Raw genomic sequence first — 17,891 nt, 5'->3', positions numbered from 1 at the left:
AACACCTGGACTCCAGGCTGTGTGCCCTTGGATCAGTCTCTGAACTTCTACTTCCTCAGCAGCCACAGGGAAATAGAGAAGTCTGCCCTGCCAACCCACTAGGTTTGTGATGAGGAGCAAATGGATGTGGAAACACCTAGTAAACTGTAAAGCACACACAATGTGAGGCATTAACTGCTCAGCAATCTCATTATTCACTTTTTAGTACAGGGTTTCTCACGCTGCATACTTCTGACATTTGGGGTGAAAGAATTCTTTGTGGTTGGGGGCTGGCCTCTGTGTTACAGGATGTCTACCCACTAGATGCCAGTAGCACCACCAAGTTGTGACAACTGAAAATGTCTCCAGACATTAACAAATACCCCAGTCGAGAACCCCTGGGGTTTGGAATGAGCTTTTAGAGTTGCATTCTGGTCACCCTTCCATCTTTCCCCTCCAACTGTGCCTCCAGCCTCACCCACAGTCTTTTCTGGTCATCAAATAAGGCTTTAAAAAAATTCCATGTTGGGATGCCTTCCCCTATCCCACACCGATATTTCATAAAGATATGCTTCCAGTTATCTATGTATGGACTCAGTAGCTTCTCTGGATTCTGTCCACAGAATCTTTTGCAACAAAACTTCATGGCCAGGTGCAGTGGCTTACGCCTGTAATCCAAACACTTTGGGAGGCTGAGGGGGGTGGATCACCTGAGGTCAGGAGTTCAAGACCAGCCTGGCCAACATGGTAAAACCCTGTCTCTACTAAAAATACACACACACACACACACACACAATTAGTCGGGCGTGGTGATGGGAGCCTGTAATCCCAGCTACTCAGGAGCCTAAGACAGGAGAATCGCTTGAACCTGGGAAGCAGAGGTTGCAGTGAGCCGAGATCGCGCCATCGCACTGCAGCCTGGGCGACAGAGCGAGACTCCATCTCAAAACAAAACACAACAAAAAAAACTTCACGTCCTGACTTAAAGATGCTTTCTCTTTTCTTTCTCATCCCTTTGGTTTTTGTTTACTAGGCAATCCTACTGTTGACTTATAATTTCTGACTTTGATACATAGTGTCTCTTAAAAATCTAAGTTTTTTTAATTGAGTCATCTGTCTTCTTTTCCACTGGCATCACCAACTACCTATGGGCCCAAAAGTCATTCCATAATTGTACATCTCTTTTTTTCTCCTTACACATCTTTTCTTATTTTGTTTTTAATATTAAGAAGGTAATACACAGTATTAATCTTTTTTCAAATAGTACAGAAGCGTATTAAGGGAAACCTGCCTCCTTTATTTTCCCTCCTCCTCCTCCGTGCCCTGTCTCCCCTCAGCTTTCAATCTCCTTCTCCAGAGGTGCACTCTTAATTCCTGGAGGATCCCATCCTTCCAGTTTTCTCTGCATATGCAAGCATATTTTGTCTCCTTGTTTTTTCAACACGCTAATGTTTTTATGTGAAGACAATGCTTTTTCTCTTATTTTGTCCTCAGCCAGAAAAAATCCTCAATCCCTAAAGATGATCAAAGAAGGAGGTTTTATGAGTGCTCTGCAAGCATCTAAAATAAGCTTCCTCTCCTGCCAAAGCCCCACAGGAGCCTGGCATGCACTGTAATTGATGACAGCCTGAACAACCTCCAGACATCACCAAGCGAACACCTTTAGGTATTCACAGACAAAAGCCAGGCATTCAAACTTCCATCCTATTGGGTCTGATTTTTTTTTTTTTTTTTAAGAGGCAATGTGGCAATGTGTTTTGCAAAGGACCCTGAGGAGAAAGGACAGACAGGTTTGTGCAATGGAGAAAAACAACTCAACACCAGAGGAGGAGAATGTAGGCAGGGTGTGTGTACCGGGCTCATTCCAATGAAAGGCCACCCTTGCAAAGGTTCAGGAGTTAATCTCCTGGCAGGGAGACAGTAAGAATTATTTTATTTGTCTCTGATTCAGTAACTTGTGACCATCTACAAACATAGGTGCCCATATGCAAGAAGAGATTTTTTTATCTCATTTGAATAAGGGCCATTTTAAGATTCTTTAATTCTTGTATTCATTTAACATGTATTACTTGGCTCTAGGCTCTCCTGGAGGGCAGAGCTTTGAGTAAAAGGGAGTCATAAAGTTAACTCAGGTATGGATCCTGCTTCCCAGAAGCATTCCCAGAAGCGTATAATCAATTAGTGCAGAAAGAGATCATCTAAATTATATCATCTGAATATAATGTGATAAAGATCACGAGTACAGCTTAAATGCTGCACGTGCTATTAATATCCTTTCAGTCCAATAAACACTTCTGTGAACACGGGTTCTAACACAACTGTCCAGTGACTCAGGAATCCAGGAGTGCCATGGGTGAAAACATAGCATGACCCAGCTGTATATAATTGCTGGCTCTAGACTGAGCAGTGGTTCCTGCAGGAGAAGGGAAAAAGATGAGCATGACAAGTTAAGTGTGAACAGTCCTATCTTCCAAAGGCTTTACAGTATAACCTGACAGCCAATTTCTCAAAGTTTTTCTCTGCTTACCAAAAGCAGTTCTTATTTTCTTATCTGACTTTCTTCACTCAGGTTTGCAACTCCTGAATGAAGAATCCTAAGAGATAAATCAATTTGCTATTGCTGCACTAATGCTACGGAACAATCTTATATCCCTCCATAGCTCATAATCATAACCATTTAGTTTCATGCTCATGGGTCTGCAGCTGCGGTTTGGTTGACATAGGCTATACTAGGCTGGAGTCTGGGTTTCTGATTTTGTGTTCTGCTTCACATTATGGGGCTCATCTTCGAAGATCATATAAATGCAAGATCACAGAAAGACAAGAAGGCAAGTCAAAGTCTGTGATGGCTCTTAGAGACCTTTGACCACACCCAGCACACTGTCTCTCCCATCCATATATCTTTGATCAGAGCAAGTCATACATGGCCTGGCCCAGCATCAGAAAGGCAGGGACATAAACTACCAAGTTGCAAGGACATAGATGAAGAACTGTAATTCAGAAAAGGCATGAAGAACCGGGAACAATGATCTAGTCTACTCCAACGGATTGCCAGTTTTCACGAAGAGAGAATGTAACAATGAGATATGTAAGCAAGTGACCTCTTGCTGCATAGCAAAGTTGTTGTGGACCTTTGGGTGCTAAAGCATGGTTACCAACACCAGTGCTTATTGTTATGTGTTCGTAGCTGAGACGATCATCACTGTAGACATGACGACTTTTGTTCCTGGCCTCAGATAAGCTTTGCATTTGCTGCTTCACAGATAGCGAAGCAACCACATCATGTTTCTTTCCGGTGTATTTGCCTGTTTATTTCCTTCCTCCTGCCCTGATTTCACAACTGTCATGCTTCTCCAACCCACCCTGTTTATGGCTGTCTATTTCAATTCAGTGATGCCCAGCTGTTTGGCAGTTCTGGAAGGCACCACCCTCTATTCTTATCCTGGCAGGACTGTGATGTTGCTGTAAATACAGGCCTTCGTTTCTGGATCTCAGTGATGATGGAAAGGCTTGAGGACCTGGCTGGGTTGTTTGTAGCAGGTCCATGTCTTTAGAAGCTTAGGTCTACCTTTGCCTCTGAAAATCTTTGTATGCGCCTCCCCACCAGGAATCTGATAGACTCATGGAATGTGAGTGCCGGGTCTTAGAGATCATCTACTCAGCCCTACTGTTTTACATATAAGGCAAATGGAGGCAAGAGAATCTCATTAGTGAAAGAACTAAGACTGGGACCTTGGGCTTCTGGTGCTCAATCCAGCGGACCCACCATGTCTCATCACATCCATCCTTCCCTGGAGAGAGTGCATTGCATTGTTACTGAAATTATCATGAATATAAGTGGCAGGATAGTAAATGAAATTCTATAAACATAATATGCATTTGGGAGTCCTGGACACTCTCTGTTTATACACCTACCTGAACCCATCCAAACTAGGAAATTAGACCATTTGATCTACAAAAAGGAGGCCATTCTAAAATATAAACATAAGGAGTTAATTCTTAGCTCTTGGTCCTCTAAGGACTGAAGAACCAATGTTGTATTTTAGAGACAACTTTCCCTATCAACTCTTTGGCATTCTGGAGGCAATTCTAGAAAAAAACGGAAGTGGGGGTAAAGGGTGGAGCAAGGGAGGGACCCAGAAATAACTGAAGTTACTCCCAAATACCTGGGAAATCACTAAACTGATCATATTAGTAAGTGACTGCATTTGGTTTACCACTAGCAGAAGAATTGGAATTCAAAGTTGATGCTGTAATAGAAAACTAGAGCAAGTTACCATTTTCCCATATCTGAATTTGTTACCTGGGAATTCTATACCTCCGGCCAGTTAGCAGGATTGTCATACCAACTGCTAGTACAGGAAACAAAGTGGAATAACACTGCTAGTTAATATGTATAGAAAAAGATCTGGAAGAACTTAAAAACAGAATAATTTTGATTCTGCTTTTTATGTATTTTTAGTTTTTCCACAACAAACATGTATTGTCTCTGTAATATGAAAAATAAGTTATTTAAATTGAAAACTAGTCACCTGTTACCTTCTCTCACCTGATACAATATCCTCTCAAATTTTGCTTATTTCTGGCACTACCCACATATATACCCTGGCACTGGATATACCCTAGCATCTTTCCTAATTATTTTATTTTATTTTATTTTATTATTTTTTGAGATAGGGGCTCCCTCAGTTGCCCAGGCTGGAGTGCAATGACGCAATTATAGCTCACAGCAGCCTTGAACTCCCAGGCTCCAGTGATCCTCCTGCCTCAGCCTCTTGAGTAGCTGGGACTACAGGTAGGTGCCACCATGCACGGCTAATTTTTTTATTTTTTGTAGAGACGGGATCTCACTGTATTGCCCAGGCTTTCTTTTATAATTTGCTACATCCTCCAAATCTTTTGTTCCTTTGTTTTTTCTAGTTCCATTGGTGTTGAAGATTTAGTTCGCAAGGGCACTATCAACTGTGAATCGGGAAAGTCAAATTCAACAGAAAAGCAAAAGAAGAATCATTGAGGCCATCAATCTGCATGTATCATTCTGGAGTGGACTTTGGTATAAATACTATATATTTATTAATGAGGTATGTCCTACTTGCAAAATATTTGGAGAGACTTGGGTGGAAAAGGCCTTAAGATATGATTTGATCAAAAACAAAACAGCAATAGAAGAAGAAGTCTAGTTCCTTTTAACAGATGCAGGAGACCACAGATGAGTGAGACGAGGGTAATCAAGGCGGGGAGACAGAGACACAGCCAGGTCTTCTGGTTGTATTCTGATGGGTGTTATGTGGGTGGCAGTAAAGGATGAGCATTTTGTTCAGCTTGGGTTAGGGGGAGGAGGAAGGCTTCTAAGATAGCTCCCTGGTGGAGATGTCTTCTAAATTAGGGCTAGACAGATGAGTTACAGTTAGCCAGGAAAAGAAATATTCCTAGAAATGGTAAAGACACCTGGGCTAATAAAAGTTACACAACCAAGCTTCAACTTTTAGTTCCAGGCCTCCTGGCAGTCAAGGCAAAACAGGAAAATACAACGTGCTTTTTATTTCTTACCTTTGGAGAAAAGGGACCTTTCTAGGAACTAGCAATAATTTCCAGGAACTAACTAACACATGATTCTCGAGTTTTATCTATCATGCATAAAAATCCCCTCAAACATTACAAATACAGAGTTATGGACCTCAGCTCTAGGGATTCTGACTCAATAGTTCTGGCATAGGGTCCAGGACTCTGAATTTTAACAAGCTCCCCTGAATAATTCTAACATAGGTGGCCCCCTCCAGTGCACTTAAAAAAATACTGCTGTAAAGGGATTTTCCCCCCATTTACTCACTTCTCTGTTCTCTGTCCTAAATGCTGAGGATAGACTGGAGAGCAAGACAGAGAATGCCATTGCTCTCAGAGGGCAATTAGAGGAGGACTGTGGATGTTCAGCAGTGAGCTGCTGCTCTGTCTCTTAGATACGCCCCAGCACCCTCTAGCCCAGAGCGCTGCACTGTGTCCCACGTGTCAACTGCCACTTTAGCTCCTAATCACAATCCTTTACAGTTTCATGTTGTGGTGACCAGGCCATCTACCTAGGCCCTGGAAGACCCTGTCATGGAAGCCCCTAGGATTATCCAAACCTTGCAACAGTTTCTCTGAAGAGTATTGGCAGCCAGGATGCAGAGACAGAGACCCCCAAGGGTGGAGATAGGCTGGTCAAGATGAGCCCGGCTGTGCAGGCTCCAGCTGCCCCCACTTCACGCGCAGTGAGATGGCTGTCAGCCCCTCTCCTGGCTGTGGCTTCTCTGCACACGCTAAATGTCAGCCTAATCCTTCTGCCCCAGCCTCTGCCCTGCCCGGCTACCTCTCTGGGCATTCCTTCAGAACCTGGGACTTCAATCTGCCTCCTCCCTGCACCTTCCTAGCTGGCTTCAGAGTGATACACAGGCCCCACCTGATGTTACTATTATCTTGTTTGAGGGCCAGCCCACAGCCAACCAAACACCCAGGAACCATCCACTGTCACTAGCAGGCATTTAGACAGAGAAAGAAGCTCCAGAACATTTGTATGTGAGTGTCGATGTGAGAGCGTGTGTGTGTGAGCACGTGTGCACATTTCTGAGTATGTGAGTGTGCCTGTGGGTGTGTGTTGGGAGACTGGATGTACAAATGGACAGTGGCCAAATAATATATGCAAAAACAGAACACTGGCTCCCAGCTTGCAGCAACCAACCCCCAGAAACCAATTCACTATCTTCAGTAGCAAGTCTAGGAAGCCAGCCTGCTAGAAATCAAACTTGTAGGAGGTCAGAGCACCTTCTGACAGATTCCCTCATTTTTATCTCCTCTTCTGATCTAGCAGCAGCAAAATATGCACCTCCTCACCAATCACTAGAACTTGCTGCTGGTTCCCCATGCCAGCAGCCTCCCTTCAGGCCATACCTGAGCCTTCCTTTTGTTTTTTTTCTGAAACGACTCTTGCTCTGTCGCCCAGGCTGGACTGCAATGGTGGGATCTCGGCTCACTGCAACCTCCACCTCTCAGGTACAAGTGATTCTTCTGCCTCAGCCTTCCGAGTAGCTGGGATTACAGGTACCCCGCATCATGCCCGGCTAATTTTTGTATTTTTGTAGAGATGGGGTTTTACTATATTGGCCAGGCTGGTCTTGAACTCCTGACCTCAGGTGATCCGCCCACCTTGTCCTCCCAAAGTGCTGGGATTACAGGTATGAGCCACTGCACCCGGCCCTGAGCCTTCCTTTTATCGACTGTAAAGTTATCTCATTCCTTGGCCTGCCTTTGGGTCTGTGCCAAAATGCAGCGATGGTGGCTGACTCTCTTGCTATGGCAAGCTCTGAATTAATATCCATTGCTTGGTTTCATTTGCTTGTGCTCATTTAGTCTTCATTTATTTCCACCATGTGCATGAATGTGTGTGTGAGAGACAGCTGTGTGTGTATCTGAGTGCATGTGCACATCTGTGTGTATTGGGAATGGCAGGATCGGAGTGTGAAGAGGAACGCGGAGAAGGCTGTCTGCACCCACTGGAAGATCCTATCATTTATCTGGATTTGTTCCCTTGGAGTCCCTCTTCTTTTATGGCCCATGGAGTGGTGGTGGGGAGGGGGCGGGGGGAAGGGAGGGAGGATAGGATGAGAGTCACTTCTGTAGCACAGACAGTTGATTGTAAAAGTCACACTCCTTTGTGTAAAGTAATAAAGAGTCCCTAGACATGGTTCCCAGTGTCCCTTCCTGCCCTTCTGAACATGATGAAGCACCATACTTCTTTCCTGCTTTCAGACAGCCAATGGCAGGCTCCAAAGTGGCATTACCCCTGCCTGTGTGCCACTCACTCTGAGGTTCCCCTGTGCCCCACATCTGGGACTGAGGCCCTGACTTCCTGCCACCAGTGCATCGGGATTTAATCTGAGGCTGGGTGGCTATTTGCCTAAATTAATGGTTGCTAAAATTAAAACAGAGGTAAATAGCCCTTTACCTACCACACAGCCTCCCTGGGATTTTAACTGCAGCAAAGAGATCATTGAGGTGCTACCATTTTCTGATCAATCATGGTAATTTTCTTCCCCCTAAGATCAGCTTAATCATGCTAAGGGTCTTAGAGAGCACAGGGGTCAAAAGAAAATTACATGGTTGGGCAGGATTTCTCTGCAGCTCCAGTTTATTTTGTACCTCACTCTGATTTAGTGTTGCACTGCTCAGAAGCAATGCATAGTGCACTTGTTGAAACAGTAATGAACTGTTTGGCCATGTCATGGGGCTCAGCAGAGGTCCACAGAATAAGACAGTCTGTGGTCCAATCCACAGACACCTGACTGCAAAAGCTTCCACAGGGAGCTGAAGTTTAAGATGAAAGAAACGAAGGCTGACAACCTTGCCCTTGACAAACATTTGCCTCCAGCCTGGGATTCAACAATGTTTTAATAACATTTAATAATATTTTAATAGGGCATAAATGGTAAAATGGAGAGAACTCCCAAGCCCTGGGCCTGCTTTCTTGCACGTGTGTGTCACAGCTGCAGAAACACGTGCTTGTACAGGAATAATTGCCACCCCAACTCAGTACCAGCAGGTCTTGGAGCCCGTGATCTATTCACATGCTCAGCAAGTGTTTAATTAATAGTTCTTTCTCTGTTGTTTTCAAATCAATCACCCAGTTTTGAGCACGTCTATTTTCTCCTGCTGTTTGTTCTGTATTGTCACCTGTGGTGCAAAAAGCATATTTTATCAAGAATTGACTTAATTGCCAGTTTAAAACATTAAAGTGCATACTGTAAATCCATTAACAAACTGATCCTTACATGAATCACCAACCTATTTCTTGTGAATAATAACTGAGATAAACAGTGACTAATGACATTGAAAAGCAGCAATGCATTAAAGAAAAATTAACAGCTATGTCAGGGGCTAAGGAATTCCAGTCACCTCATACGTTTGCACCAACCAGATCACTGAAGACAAACGACGGGAAGTCATGACTCAGATGGTGATCTGCAGGGAAAGGTTTAGAGATGAGATGTGTCTGATGCCTCAACACTACCCCTCTCTCCATCTGTCTGTCTCTCTTGGCACCACGATTATGAAACTGCATTCTGAATGCTTAGGCCCTAAACCTAAACCAAGGGAAGGACCTCCAATAGAACACCCAACACACACTAATCTCCACTGTATACTAGACACAACCTTTCTGTATTGTTTCGATTGGATAGGATTTCTACCATTATTCTATTTCGTTTCTGTCCTGTTTTGTTTGTTGTCTGAGAACTTGATTGTCAAGTAAGAAGGAAGGAAGGTGAGATGCAGATTCACCCCTACCTCCACCCTCAGAGCATATTCTCCTTTGGAAATGGACCTTGAAAAGATCATTTCTCTCTGGGGAAGCAGAACATAACCTTAAGGTGTGGGTGTGGCATCCACCTCCATCTGGCGTGGGCCTTGGTGGGAGGAGGGCATTCCAGAGTGGAGAAAGGAGAATGGACCTGGCGGAGAGAAGTGGTCTGGCAGTTTTCTGATGATGCAGTTGTCCCTGCTGTCTGGGCCTGCGCTATCCAACACAGCAGCCACTAGCCACTTGGAGTTATTAAAATTTTATAAAAATTCAATAAAATTTAAATTCCATCAGCACTAGCCTCAGTTCAAATGCTCAGTGGCCAATGTGGCTGATACTGTATCAGACGGCGCAGACTTGGAACATTTCCATCAGGGCAGAAAGTTCTACAGGACAGCTTCTTCCTAGGGTCTAGGCAGCCCCGGAGCCTCACCTGGGGGATAAGCAAAATCACAGAGTGAGAATGCGTGTGGTCCAGGACCCCTCCCAGTCCCAGATACCGAACGACATCTGAGCAAGGGACTCTGTTGCCCCGGGGACGGTTTCAAAAGCTGGAGGCCGGGACTCCAAAGGGCTGGAGAGGCGTGATAATAGAACCAGTGCTTCAACAGCAACTTCTCTTTTGCAATCCTTGCTGGTCTGACAGGCTCCTGCAGAATTACATCACTTCCTAAAAAACAGGCACACACCTCTCCTTCAAGTCAGCACCGACCCAAACAAGCAGGAAACAGGAAATGTTCACGTTTCAGAGAGGCTGCAGCCCGGCGCAGCATCCTGAGCGCGCCTCTGCCGAGGCGAGCGGACATGCAGGCTCCCCGCGCAGCCCTAGTCTTCGCCCTGGTGATCGCGCTCGTTCCCGTCGGCCGGGGTAAGCCGCCTCCACTTCCTACTCCTGGGAAGGAGGATCGCAAAAGCTGGTAGGGTGCCCGAGGCTACAGAACTCTGCCGGGGAGGGTGACACCCAGAAAATCTAATCCTTTCTGTGAAAGAAGTGGAGAAAATTAGAACTCCTTTTTTTGGGGGGTGGGATGGAGAGGGGACTTCGCTTTCGCTGCAGCTGTCTAAACTGGCTACAGCTCTCACTTCATTTAACCCTCTTTCAGTCTTTGTCTTCCAGGAAGTGTGCGTCCCTGTAATTTACCAGCTTTAATGGGCATATTAAGAAAACCATAAACTTTTTGGCAGTTTATGTAAAAAAAAACAAAAGCTTCAATTGGCTGAAACAGAGACATGATTAATTTGCTTTTTATGGTGTGGGCTGAGAAGTCTGCTGATTCCAAAATCTCCTGGAAAAACTGGGGTGTGAAAATTTACTACTAGAAAGCATACTAAAGAAACGACATAAACTTAAAAAAAAAAAAAGGAAACGGGAAATTATCCGAAGAGCTACCAAAGAGCTATGTGTTAGAGGGTAGCCCTCTAACACATCAAGTAAGGTCTTTCATCTACTTTTATTGCACCTTGTTACTTTTACAGATTTTTTTTTTGCATTGATTGTTACTAATGAAGATTTGTTTGAAAAAGTAATATGATTGGAACCAATCAAAGGTATTGGAAAAAACAATATTGAATCTCATTATTATGGGCTAAAAGCAACAACTGATTTACACCCTTGCCAGTTGCTACAACAAGCACAAGCACCTTCAGCTGCCTCTCTTGTTGACTTGCCTTTGGGCAAATACACTGGCTGCCCATTGTTTCTGTCAATGAACACCGACTGCTTCTAGTGTAGGGCAGTATTTACCAAGCAAAAGGAAAGTTCTCAAGCTACAGTTCTTTAGATAGAATGAGGGACATCAGCCCCAACCTAACAGATGTGACAACTTCCTGGAGGTCAGCAGCCAGCACCCAGCCACCCCACTCCATCAATTTCTCTTCCCCTGGGTGTTCTCCATGTGGTCCCCCAGGCATCTGAGGTAGAAAACAAAGTGGAAGGCAAATCATTCCAGCTGAAAAGATGTCTGGTTAAATTGAGTTTAGTGTTCAGAGTGGGTTTGGAAGTTGATGTGTTGTTTTATGCCCAGTGTTTTGGAGCTGGAAGGGAACTTGAAGATGATGCAGCTCAAACCATATTGGGCACACAGGTGAAGAAACAGAGGTGGAAGAAGGGAGATGTCTGGGTCTTGCTGCTAGTCAGCTCTTCTGGCTTCTACTCCAGAGTTCTTTGAGCTCCTCCACCCCCCACCACCACTGCCCCCCTCCCCCCACCGCCGCCCCGGAACCAATCACTGTCTCTGCCAAGAGCTCTGGAACCTTTCGTAGTAGGACATCAGGGAAGAAAAGCCTAGCCATCCTCCTTCCACCTCTTCTATTGCACAACACTGCCACAGGTGCCTCAAACACTCCCTTAATACTAATTCATCTTGCCTGAACTTTTTTTTTAGCTTCTAAAAAATGATTGAGTCCTAGTGTCTGCAATTCAGGAGATGCAAAAAGAGAATCTGAAGAGACTTGGTTAAAGTTGCCTTTCTGACACCTGAATCTGATCGTGCACATCTTCCCCCTTAAGGACCCCTCATTTATGCCCCTTCACTTGTTCCTCATTTTTGCCCCTTAGACTCTCACTGCAACCTCCTTCCCAGTGGCACCTCCTTCCAGTTGTCGTCCCCCTCCGTGGCTCTTGCCTATAATGAATACATTCTTTTTCCTACCTAGCAAATTCTTGTATCACCTTAAAAGTATCAAACTAAATGTGATCTCCTCCTTGATGTCTCCTTTCTCTGCCCCTTCCCTGGAGCTCTACTCGTACCTGCTGCTGTGCCCCGATAGACCTAAACTTCTGCTAATCACTTTGAACCATAATTGTGTCCATGCCTCCCAACTGGCTGTGAACAGCTCCAGGGAAAATCCTCTGTAGTTCACCTTTGACTTTCCAAAATCCTGTAAGGGCTCAGCATAAATGAGAAAATAATTGTTGATAAATATGAAAATCATCCCTAGAATGGATATGAGGCTGATTACAAAAAAAACTGATAGCTCCTGAAAACAGGTAGTGTTGGAATGTAAAGAGAAGTCAAAGATGAAAAGTTGCATTTCAGTAGAGTGCAGGGATTACCTAAATAATCCAACATGCTAATTGGGCCCTGCTGGGATTCCCAATGTCTGAAAAATGCCCACTTGCAAAAAGCTGTTGAATAAAAGCTATGACTTTGAGATGATTCATCATGGAAAAGGTGATTTTAAATTAAAGATTTTTAAAATTAATTAATGTACACTACTTTTAGCTAATAGTGCCTAAGGCTTCAGGATATGAGTTACTTTCTAGGTGTCACAGGTATATTTCCTTGAATTCTTCAAAAAATACCTGGGGATGTTTGTTAGATGAATCCAACCTACTGAAGGGCCTGACACTGTTTGTGAGTATACTCTGAGATGTATCTCAAATTAAGCCTTTATTAACAACGAGCAGGCAACATGAGATAATATCTGCAGTTGCATGAGACCAGCACTGTTACCTCTGAGTCAGCGACCTCTTCTCTTTTTAGAGATAGATAGCCTGACATAGAATTGAGTTCTACCCCAAGAGAAATAATTCACTTGGAAGTCACCAGGAGAGAAATAAGAAAGCAGCTTTTCTGGGACTATAATGGAATGGGTGAGCATAGTTAAAGGAAAGCTTGGGCCTAGGTGCCTTGGCCAGTGTAGGATCCTAAGAAAGTTCAAACTCAAGGAGATGTTCTGCTCATGGAGTAAAGTGGGGCAGGGGTGTCCCCGTCTCTGTTCTTTATGCCCTGTCAGTGTCAGCTTAATACTATCAGAAAACCAAAAGCAATTTCCTAAATACCAAAAGCATGGGATTTGTTAGTTGCTAAAAGCAGAATTGTTGCAGAAGGGAGAGCTGAAGGCCATGAGGCAGAAACAAGGATGCTGTGACTGTTTTGGTGGCCAAACAGAGAGGAATGGGAGATTTTCTGGGCTGGTTCAGAAGAATAAGAATTATATAAGTATTGGATGAATCTTGACAAGGAGAGAAAGAATAGTAGAAAATACTAGCTATGTAAGTAAGGCTACACATTCTGACACTGTGGTATCTCATATCTTATTTTAATGAACACGGCTGACATCTGCTGTTTCCTGGGACAGTCCCAATTTCAAGTATTAATAACAATAGTAGCTAACATATATAGAACTCATTATAGGTCAGGCACTATTCTAAATGCTACATTCACTAACTCATTTAATTCTCAGAACAACCTTATAAGGTGGGCACTATTATCCCTGTTTTTACATTTGAGAAAACTGAGGCACAGAGAGGCTAAGTGACTTGCCCAAGGTCACACAGCTAATTAGTGAATCTAAGTAAGATTCTGCCTCAGGAGTCCATTCTCTAACCATACTCCATACTACCTCTGGGTTTCCAAGCTCTGCCAGGCTACTCGTTTAGTTTTGGGTTTAGAAAACTGTGGTTGTTGAACCTTTCCAGCTGTAGGTGCAGCACAGAACTCTTGGCTAGGCTTTGCGGTGGCTGCATGTCAATTATAGAGCTGCATTTGTTTGCACTGGGTCAGAGACTGGCTGAGAGGAAGAGGAATGATGAGAGTTGGGTTAAAACTCAGACTGCTGAGGAGGAAGGGAGGGGCTGAAAGAGGTGCAGAGTGAGCACAAGAGAATCTGGGGATTTAAGACTAGAAGCAGGAAAAACAGAATGTTGAAGTCACTGGGTAAGAGGCTTCAGGGTGTGGGAACCAGCGAGGAGAAGAACAGCCTTATGTCAGGCAGTCACTGTGGGAGAGCCCTACTGAGAACTGGCCATTACGACCAAATACTCTAAGGGACTCCCCCAAAAAACAGACAGAGAGGATGAGCTTTAAAGTCCTTCTGTGTCTGAAATTTGGAATCCCAGGAAACCATAAGAGGGAAGATATTGACTGGGATGGGCTCAATTCTGTAATGAAGCAATGCAAACTGCAGCTTGCCTATTCGTATGTAGTTTGTACCACTCTCAAATGTTGGCAAAGATATGGAGAGACAGGAACTCTGCACTACTGGTCCGAGGGTAGATTAGTGCAATCACCTTGTCTATCTTGACGGTCAAGCCATCCATTGGGCTTTTAATTTTAGTCATCATTATTTGGCATTTCTAGAAAATTTGTTTTTTTTTTTTCTTTTTGAGACAGAGTTTCACTCTCGTTGCCCAGGCTGGAGTGCAATGGCACGATCTTGGCTCACCGCAACCTCTGCCTTGTGGGTTCAAGCGATTCTCCTGCCTCAGCCTCCCGAGTAGCTGGGATTACAGGCATGTGCCAGCACACCCGGCTAATTTTGTATTTTTAGTAGAGATGGGGTTTCTCCATGTTGGTCAGGCTGGTCTCAAACTCGCGACCGCAGGAGATCCACCCTCCTCGGCCTCCCAAAGTGCTAAGATTACAGGCATGAGCCACCTCACCTGGCCTATGTGTTCTTTTTTTATACACATTGTGCTTTGGGTTTTTTTCCCTTGTGTTATTTATTCCTTCTTTTATGTCATTATTTTAAACATCTTATTATCTATTTGGTAACTTTTAGCTAAAGTTTGTGTAGACATAATCTTGCCGCTTGTCATATCTGTTGCCTCACATTCTTTTTTTTTTTTTTTTTTTTTGAGATGGAGCCTCGCTCTGCTGCCCAGGCTGGAGCACAGTGGTGTGATCTCGGCTCACTGCAACCTCCACTTCCTGGGTTCAAGCCGATTCTCCTGCCTCACCCTCCCCAGTAGCTGGGATTATAGGCGCATGCCACCACACCTGGCTGATTTTTGTATTTTTAGTACAGACAGGGTTTCACTATGTTGGCCAGGCTGGTCTTGAACTCCTGACTTCAGGTGATCCACTCACCTCGGCTTCCCAGTGTGTTGGGATTACAGGCATGAGCCACCGCACCTGGCCTTGCCTCCCATTCTTGATGGAAATCGTGGGGGCCCTGAGAGCAGAACCTGGTACACCGAGGATGGCTCACCCTACTTAACAGAACCCCAAATTATCTGATCCTGTCACCAAGCTACTATAAAGTGCTCTAAGCCCCAATTCTTTTCGAATATACCCCCAGCCTTGTTATCACAAACTAGGATTTGGAAGAAACTGAGACAGGGGTGTGCTTAAGGGAGCCCATGATTGGACCTCAGGCTTAATCCCCAGCCTTGAATGGGAAGTGGCAAGCATCAGAGGTCAGCTTCCAAGAGCTGCAGGAGGAAGCAACAAAGCCTCCATGAGGGGGTAAGCTGGCAGACCAGAGCCGGCAGTGGAGCAAGCCAGGCGCCAGAAGTAGGTAACCAAGGAGACTGAACTGATTGCCCTCAAGAAAGAAGAAAGGAATAGAGCAATCCAAATTGAAAATCAGAGGAGGGCCCAGGTTCCACAGGTGTCAGGATGATGGCAAGATCAGCCTGGGGTAGCTGACCTGACTCTGAACTTTGCCAAAGTCATTTCAGTGACTTTTTTTTCTTATACCATGGTCTGAAATTTTAGCTTTAACTGTTGACCCAGTGAATGGACAGGAGCTCCCTGAAAACATTATATAGCCTGTTATCTCCCTGGGCCCACACCTTTGTTGAGGAAATGCGCATTGGTAGATATAACTCCGAATTTCAACTTCCTCTAAGCATTTAAAAATATATATCTCTCCTAAGCCTTAGGTATTTTCTTGCTTTCTTGAGATTTCTTTATGCATTTAAAAGATTGCCTTTTATGTTTTATTCAACATTTCTAGGTGTTGCACATTGGGAGAATTTTCAGGTTACCGCATTTATCAGATTATATGAAAAAGGAAATTTTTCTATACAACCATTCTGGAGAATAATTTGGAAATATTACACAAGCAGAAGATGTTCATGCTCCACAATCCCAAGAATTGACTCCTAGCTCACTCACAAATGTGCAGTCAAAAGATATGGCTGAGGTTGTTGATGATAGCATTGTTTGTAAAAATGAAAAACAAAACAAAACAAAATGAAAGCAACCTAAATGTCTATCAACAAAAGGAAAAATAATATTTAGTATAGTCACAGAATGAGTACAACATAACAAGTAAAATTAATGAATTCCAGCCAAATGTATCAAGGTGAATCAGTCTCAAAAGTCATGTTGATACACGTATCAAATGTATCAAGCCAAATGTATCAAAAGTCATGTTGATGAAAAAGTCAGTTAAAGATTATTATGCCACCAGGCATGGTGGCTCAGGACTGTAATCCCAGCACTTTGGGAGGCAGAGGCAGGCGGATCACTTGAGGTCAGGAGTTCGAGACTAGCTTGACCAATGTGGTGAAATTCCGTCTCTACTAAAAATACAAAAATTAGCTGGGCATGGTGGCGCATGCCTGTAGTCCCAGCTACTCGGGAGGCTAAGGCAGGAGAACTGCTTGAACCTGGAAGGCAATGGTTGCAGTGAGCTGAGATTGTGCCACTTCACTCCAGACTGGGCAACAGAGTGAGATTCTGTCTCAAAACAAATAAAGAAGTAAATAAAATTATTATGCAGAAGCGGGGTGGGAAAAAAAAAAGAAAAAAAGGATTACTATGCATAGAATAATTATACTTATTTAAACATGTTTAAACAACCAAAATTACGCTATATATTGCTTAGGGACATAGACATGTTTGAAAAGTGGGAATGATACACAGTAACTTTAGGACAATAATTACCTTTGACGAGTGAGGAAGAGAAATGAGATCAGGGAGGGGTGTAATGAGGGCTTCAATTATATCCAAAATATTGTTTCTGTCAGCAAAAAGATGGTAGTCCAGGGCTCAGCAAACTAAGACCCATGGGCCAAACCCAGCCAGCTTCCTTTATTTCCAAGCTAAGATTGATTTTTACATTTGTAAATGGTTTTACCTTTAATGTTTATATAAATAAGTGCTTTCATAATAGCTGGTATTTGCCTCTTGGCCCACAAAATCTAAAATGTTTACTCTCTAGCCTTTTAGGAGAAAGTTTGCCAACCTCTGCTCTTGTCAATATGGAAAAATTTAAGATAATTAGGGGATGAGTGCCTTGTTACTTGTTAAATCATCCTCTATTCTTTTCAGTAGGTATACTTTCATAATGGAAAATAATGAGAGAGCCTGTGAGTTCTTCTTGCTCTCCTCCATCTTTCTTTTTCACGTCTCCCAGTCTCTTTGAAGATGGTCAATACACTCTCAGTTTCTCACATTCCATTCATTTCTCAATCCTCTGCCATGTGGCTACTGTGTCAGGTACAGATTTCAGATCGCTCTGTCTCCATCACCAGTGATTCCTAAAAGCTAAACCCAAAAGACCCATTTCTGTGCTTATTTTATGTTTTTCTCCATAGCACTTGTCCTAATTAATCAGTGATTGCAGCTCTCTTATCCTTGATCTTCACGATGCTCTTTTCTTCTGGGTCCCCTACTGTGACTCTGATTGCTTCTTTCCAGTGTTTGGTTATGAATCTTTCTCTACCACCTGCTCATTTCATGTCAGTGTTCTTTTCTTTTCTCACTCCTTACACCAGTCCTGGGTCATGACAACCCTTTTTTTTTCTTAAGGGTTTCACTTTGTCACCCAGGCTGTATAGTACAGTGGCACGATCTTGGATTCAAGCCTCTGGGTTCAAGCAATCCTCCCACCTCAGCCTCCTGAGTAG

At 43.7% G+C, this 17,891-nt stretch overlaps 1 protein-coding gene and 1 long non-coding RNA gene across 5 annotated transcripts in view, besides 3 other annotated features; one reads left to right on the top strand and one right to left on the bottom strand.

The window, feature by feature from the left end:
• Window positions 1–8,382: 8,382 nt before the first annotated feature.
• Window positions 8,383–9,960, bottom strand: LOC105377495 (uncharacterized). Its single transcript, XR_939359.3, has 4 exons — window positions 9,741–9,960; window positions 9,372–9,458; window positions 8,905–8,970; window positions 8,383–8,682 (listed from the first exon to the last, which is right to left on the bottom strand). It is a non-coding gene; the product is annotated as an uncharacterized LOC105377495 (long non-coding RNA).
• Window positions 9,585–10,414: an enhancer, noted in NCBI's record as "H3K27ac-H3K4me1 hESC enhancer chr4:153600783-153601612 (GRCh37/hg19 assembly coordinates)". NCBI's record gives its function as "activates a minimal SCP1, AML or CMV promoter by ChIP-STARR-seq in naive H9 embryonic stem cells {active_cell/tissue: H9 hESC(naive)}" and the evidence as "EXISTENCE:reporter gene assay evidence [ECO:0000049][PMID:30033119]".
• Window positions 9,965–10,274: an enhancer, noted in NCBI's record as "active region_22042". NCBI's record gives its function as "activates an Ori minimal core promoter by ATAC-STARR-seq in GM12878 lymphoblastoid cells {active_cell/tissue: GM12878}" and the evidence as "EXISTENCE:reporter gene assay evidence [ECO:0000049][PMID:35858748]".
• TMEM154 (transmembrane protein 154) overlaps window positions 10,048–17,891 on the top strand; it is a 61,370-nt gene continuing 53,526 nt past the window's right edge. For all 4 annotated transcript variants that reach the window (XR_001741158.3, XR_007096383.1, NM_152680.3 and 1 more), the window contains exon 1: window positions 10,048–10,175. Coding sequence is in view for 2 of the 4 variants with exons in the window: in NM_152680.3 (NP_689893.1) it covers window positions 10,112–10,175 (64 nt within the window). In the remaining 2 variants the exon portion in view is untranslated. The remainder of the gene's footprint in view (window positions 10,176–17,891) is intronic.
• Window positions 13,482–13,571: an enhancer, noted in NCBI's record as "active region_22041". NCBI's record gives its function as "activates an Ori minimal core promoter by ATAC-STARR-seq in GM12878 lymphoblastoid cells {active_cell/tissue: GM12878}" and the evidence as "EXISTENCE:reporter gene assay evidence [ECO:0000049][PMID:35858748]".

The sequence above is a fragment of the Homo sapiens genome, chromosome 4 (genome assembly GCF_000001405.40).
Source record: "Homo sapiens chromosome 4, GRCh38.p14 Primary Assembly".
NCBI lineage: Eukaryota > Metazoa > Chordata > Mammalia > Primates > Hominidae > Homo > Homo sapiens.
Note: the sequence above shows the minus strand (reverse complement) of the source record. Positions and strands in the feature narration are given on the sequence as shown.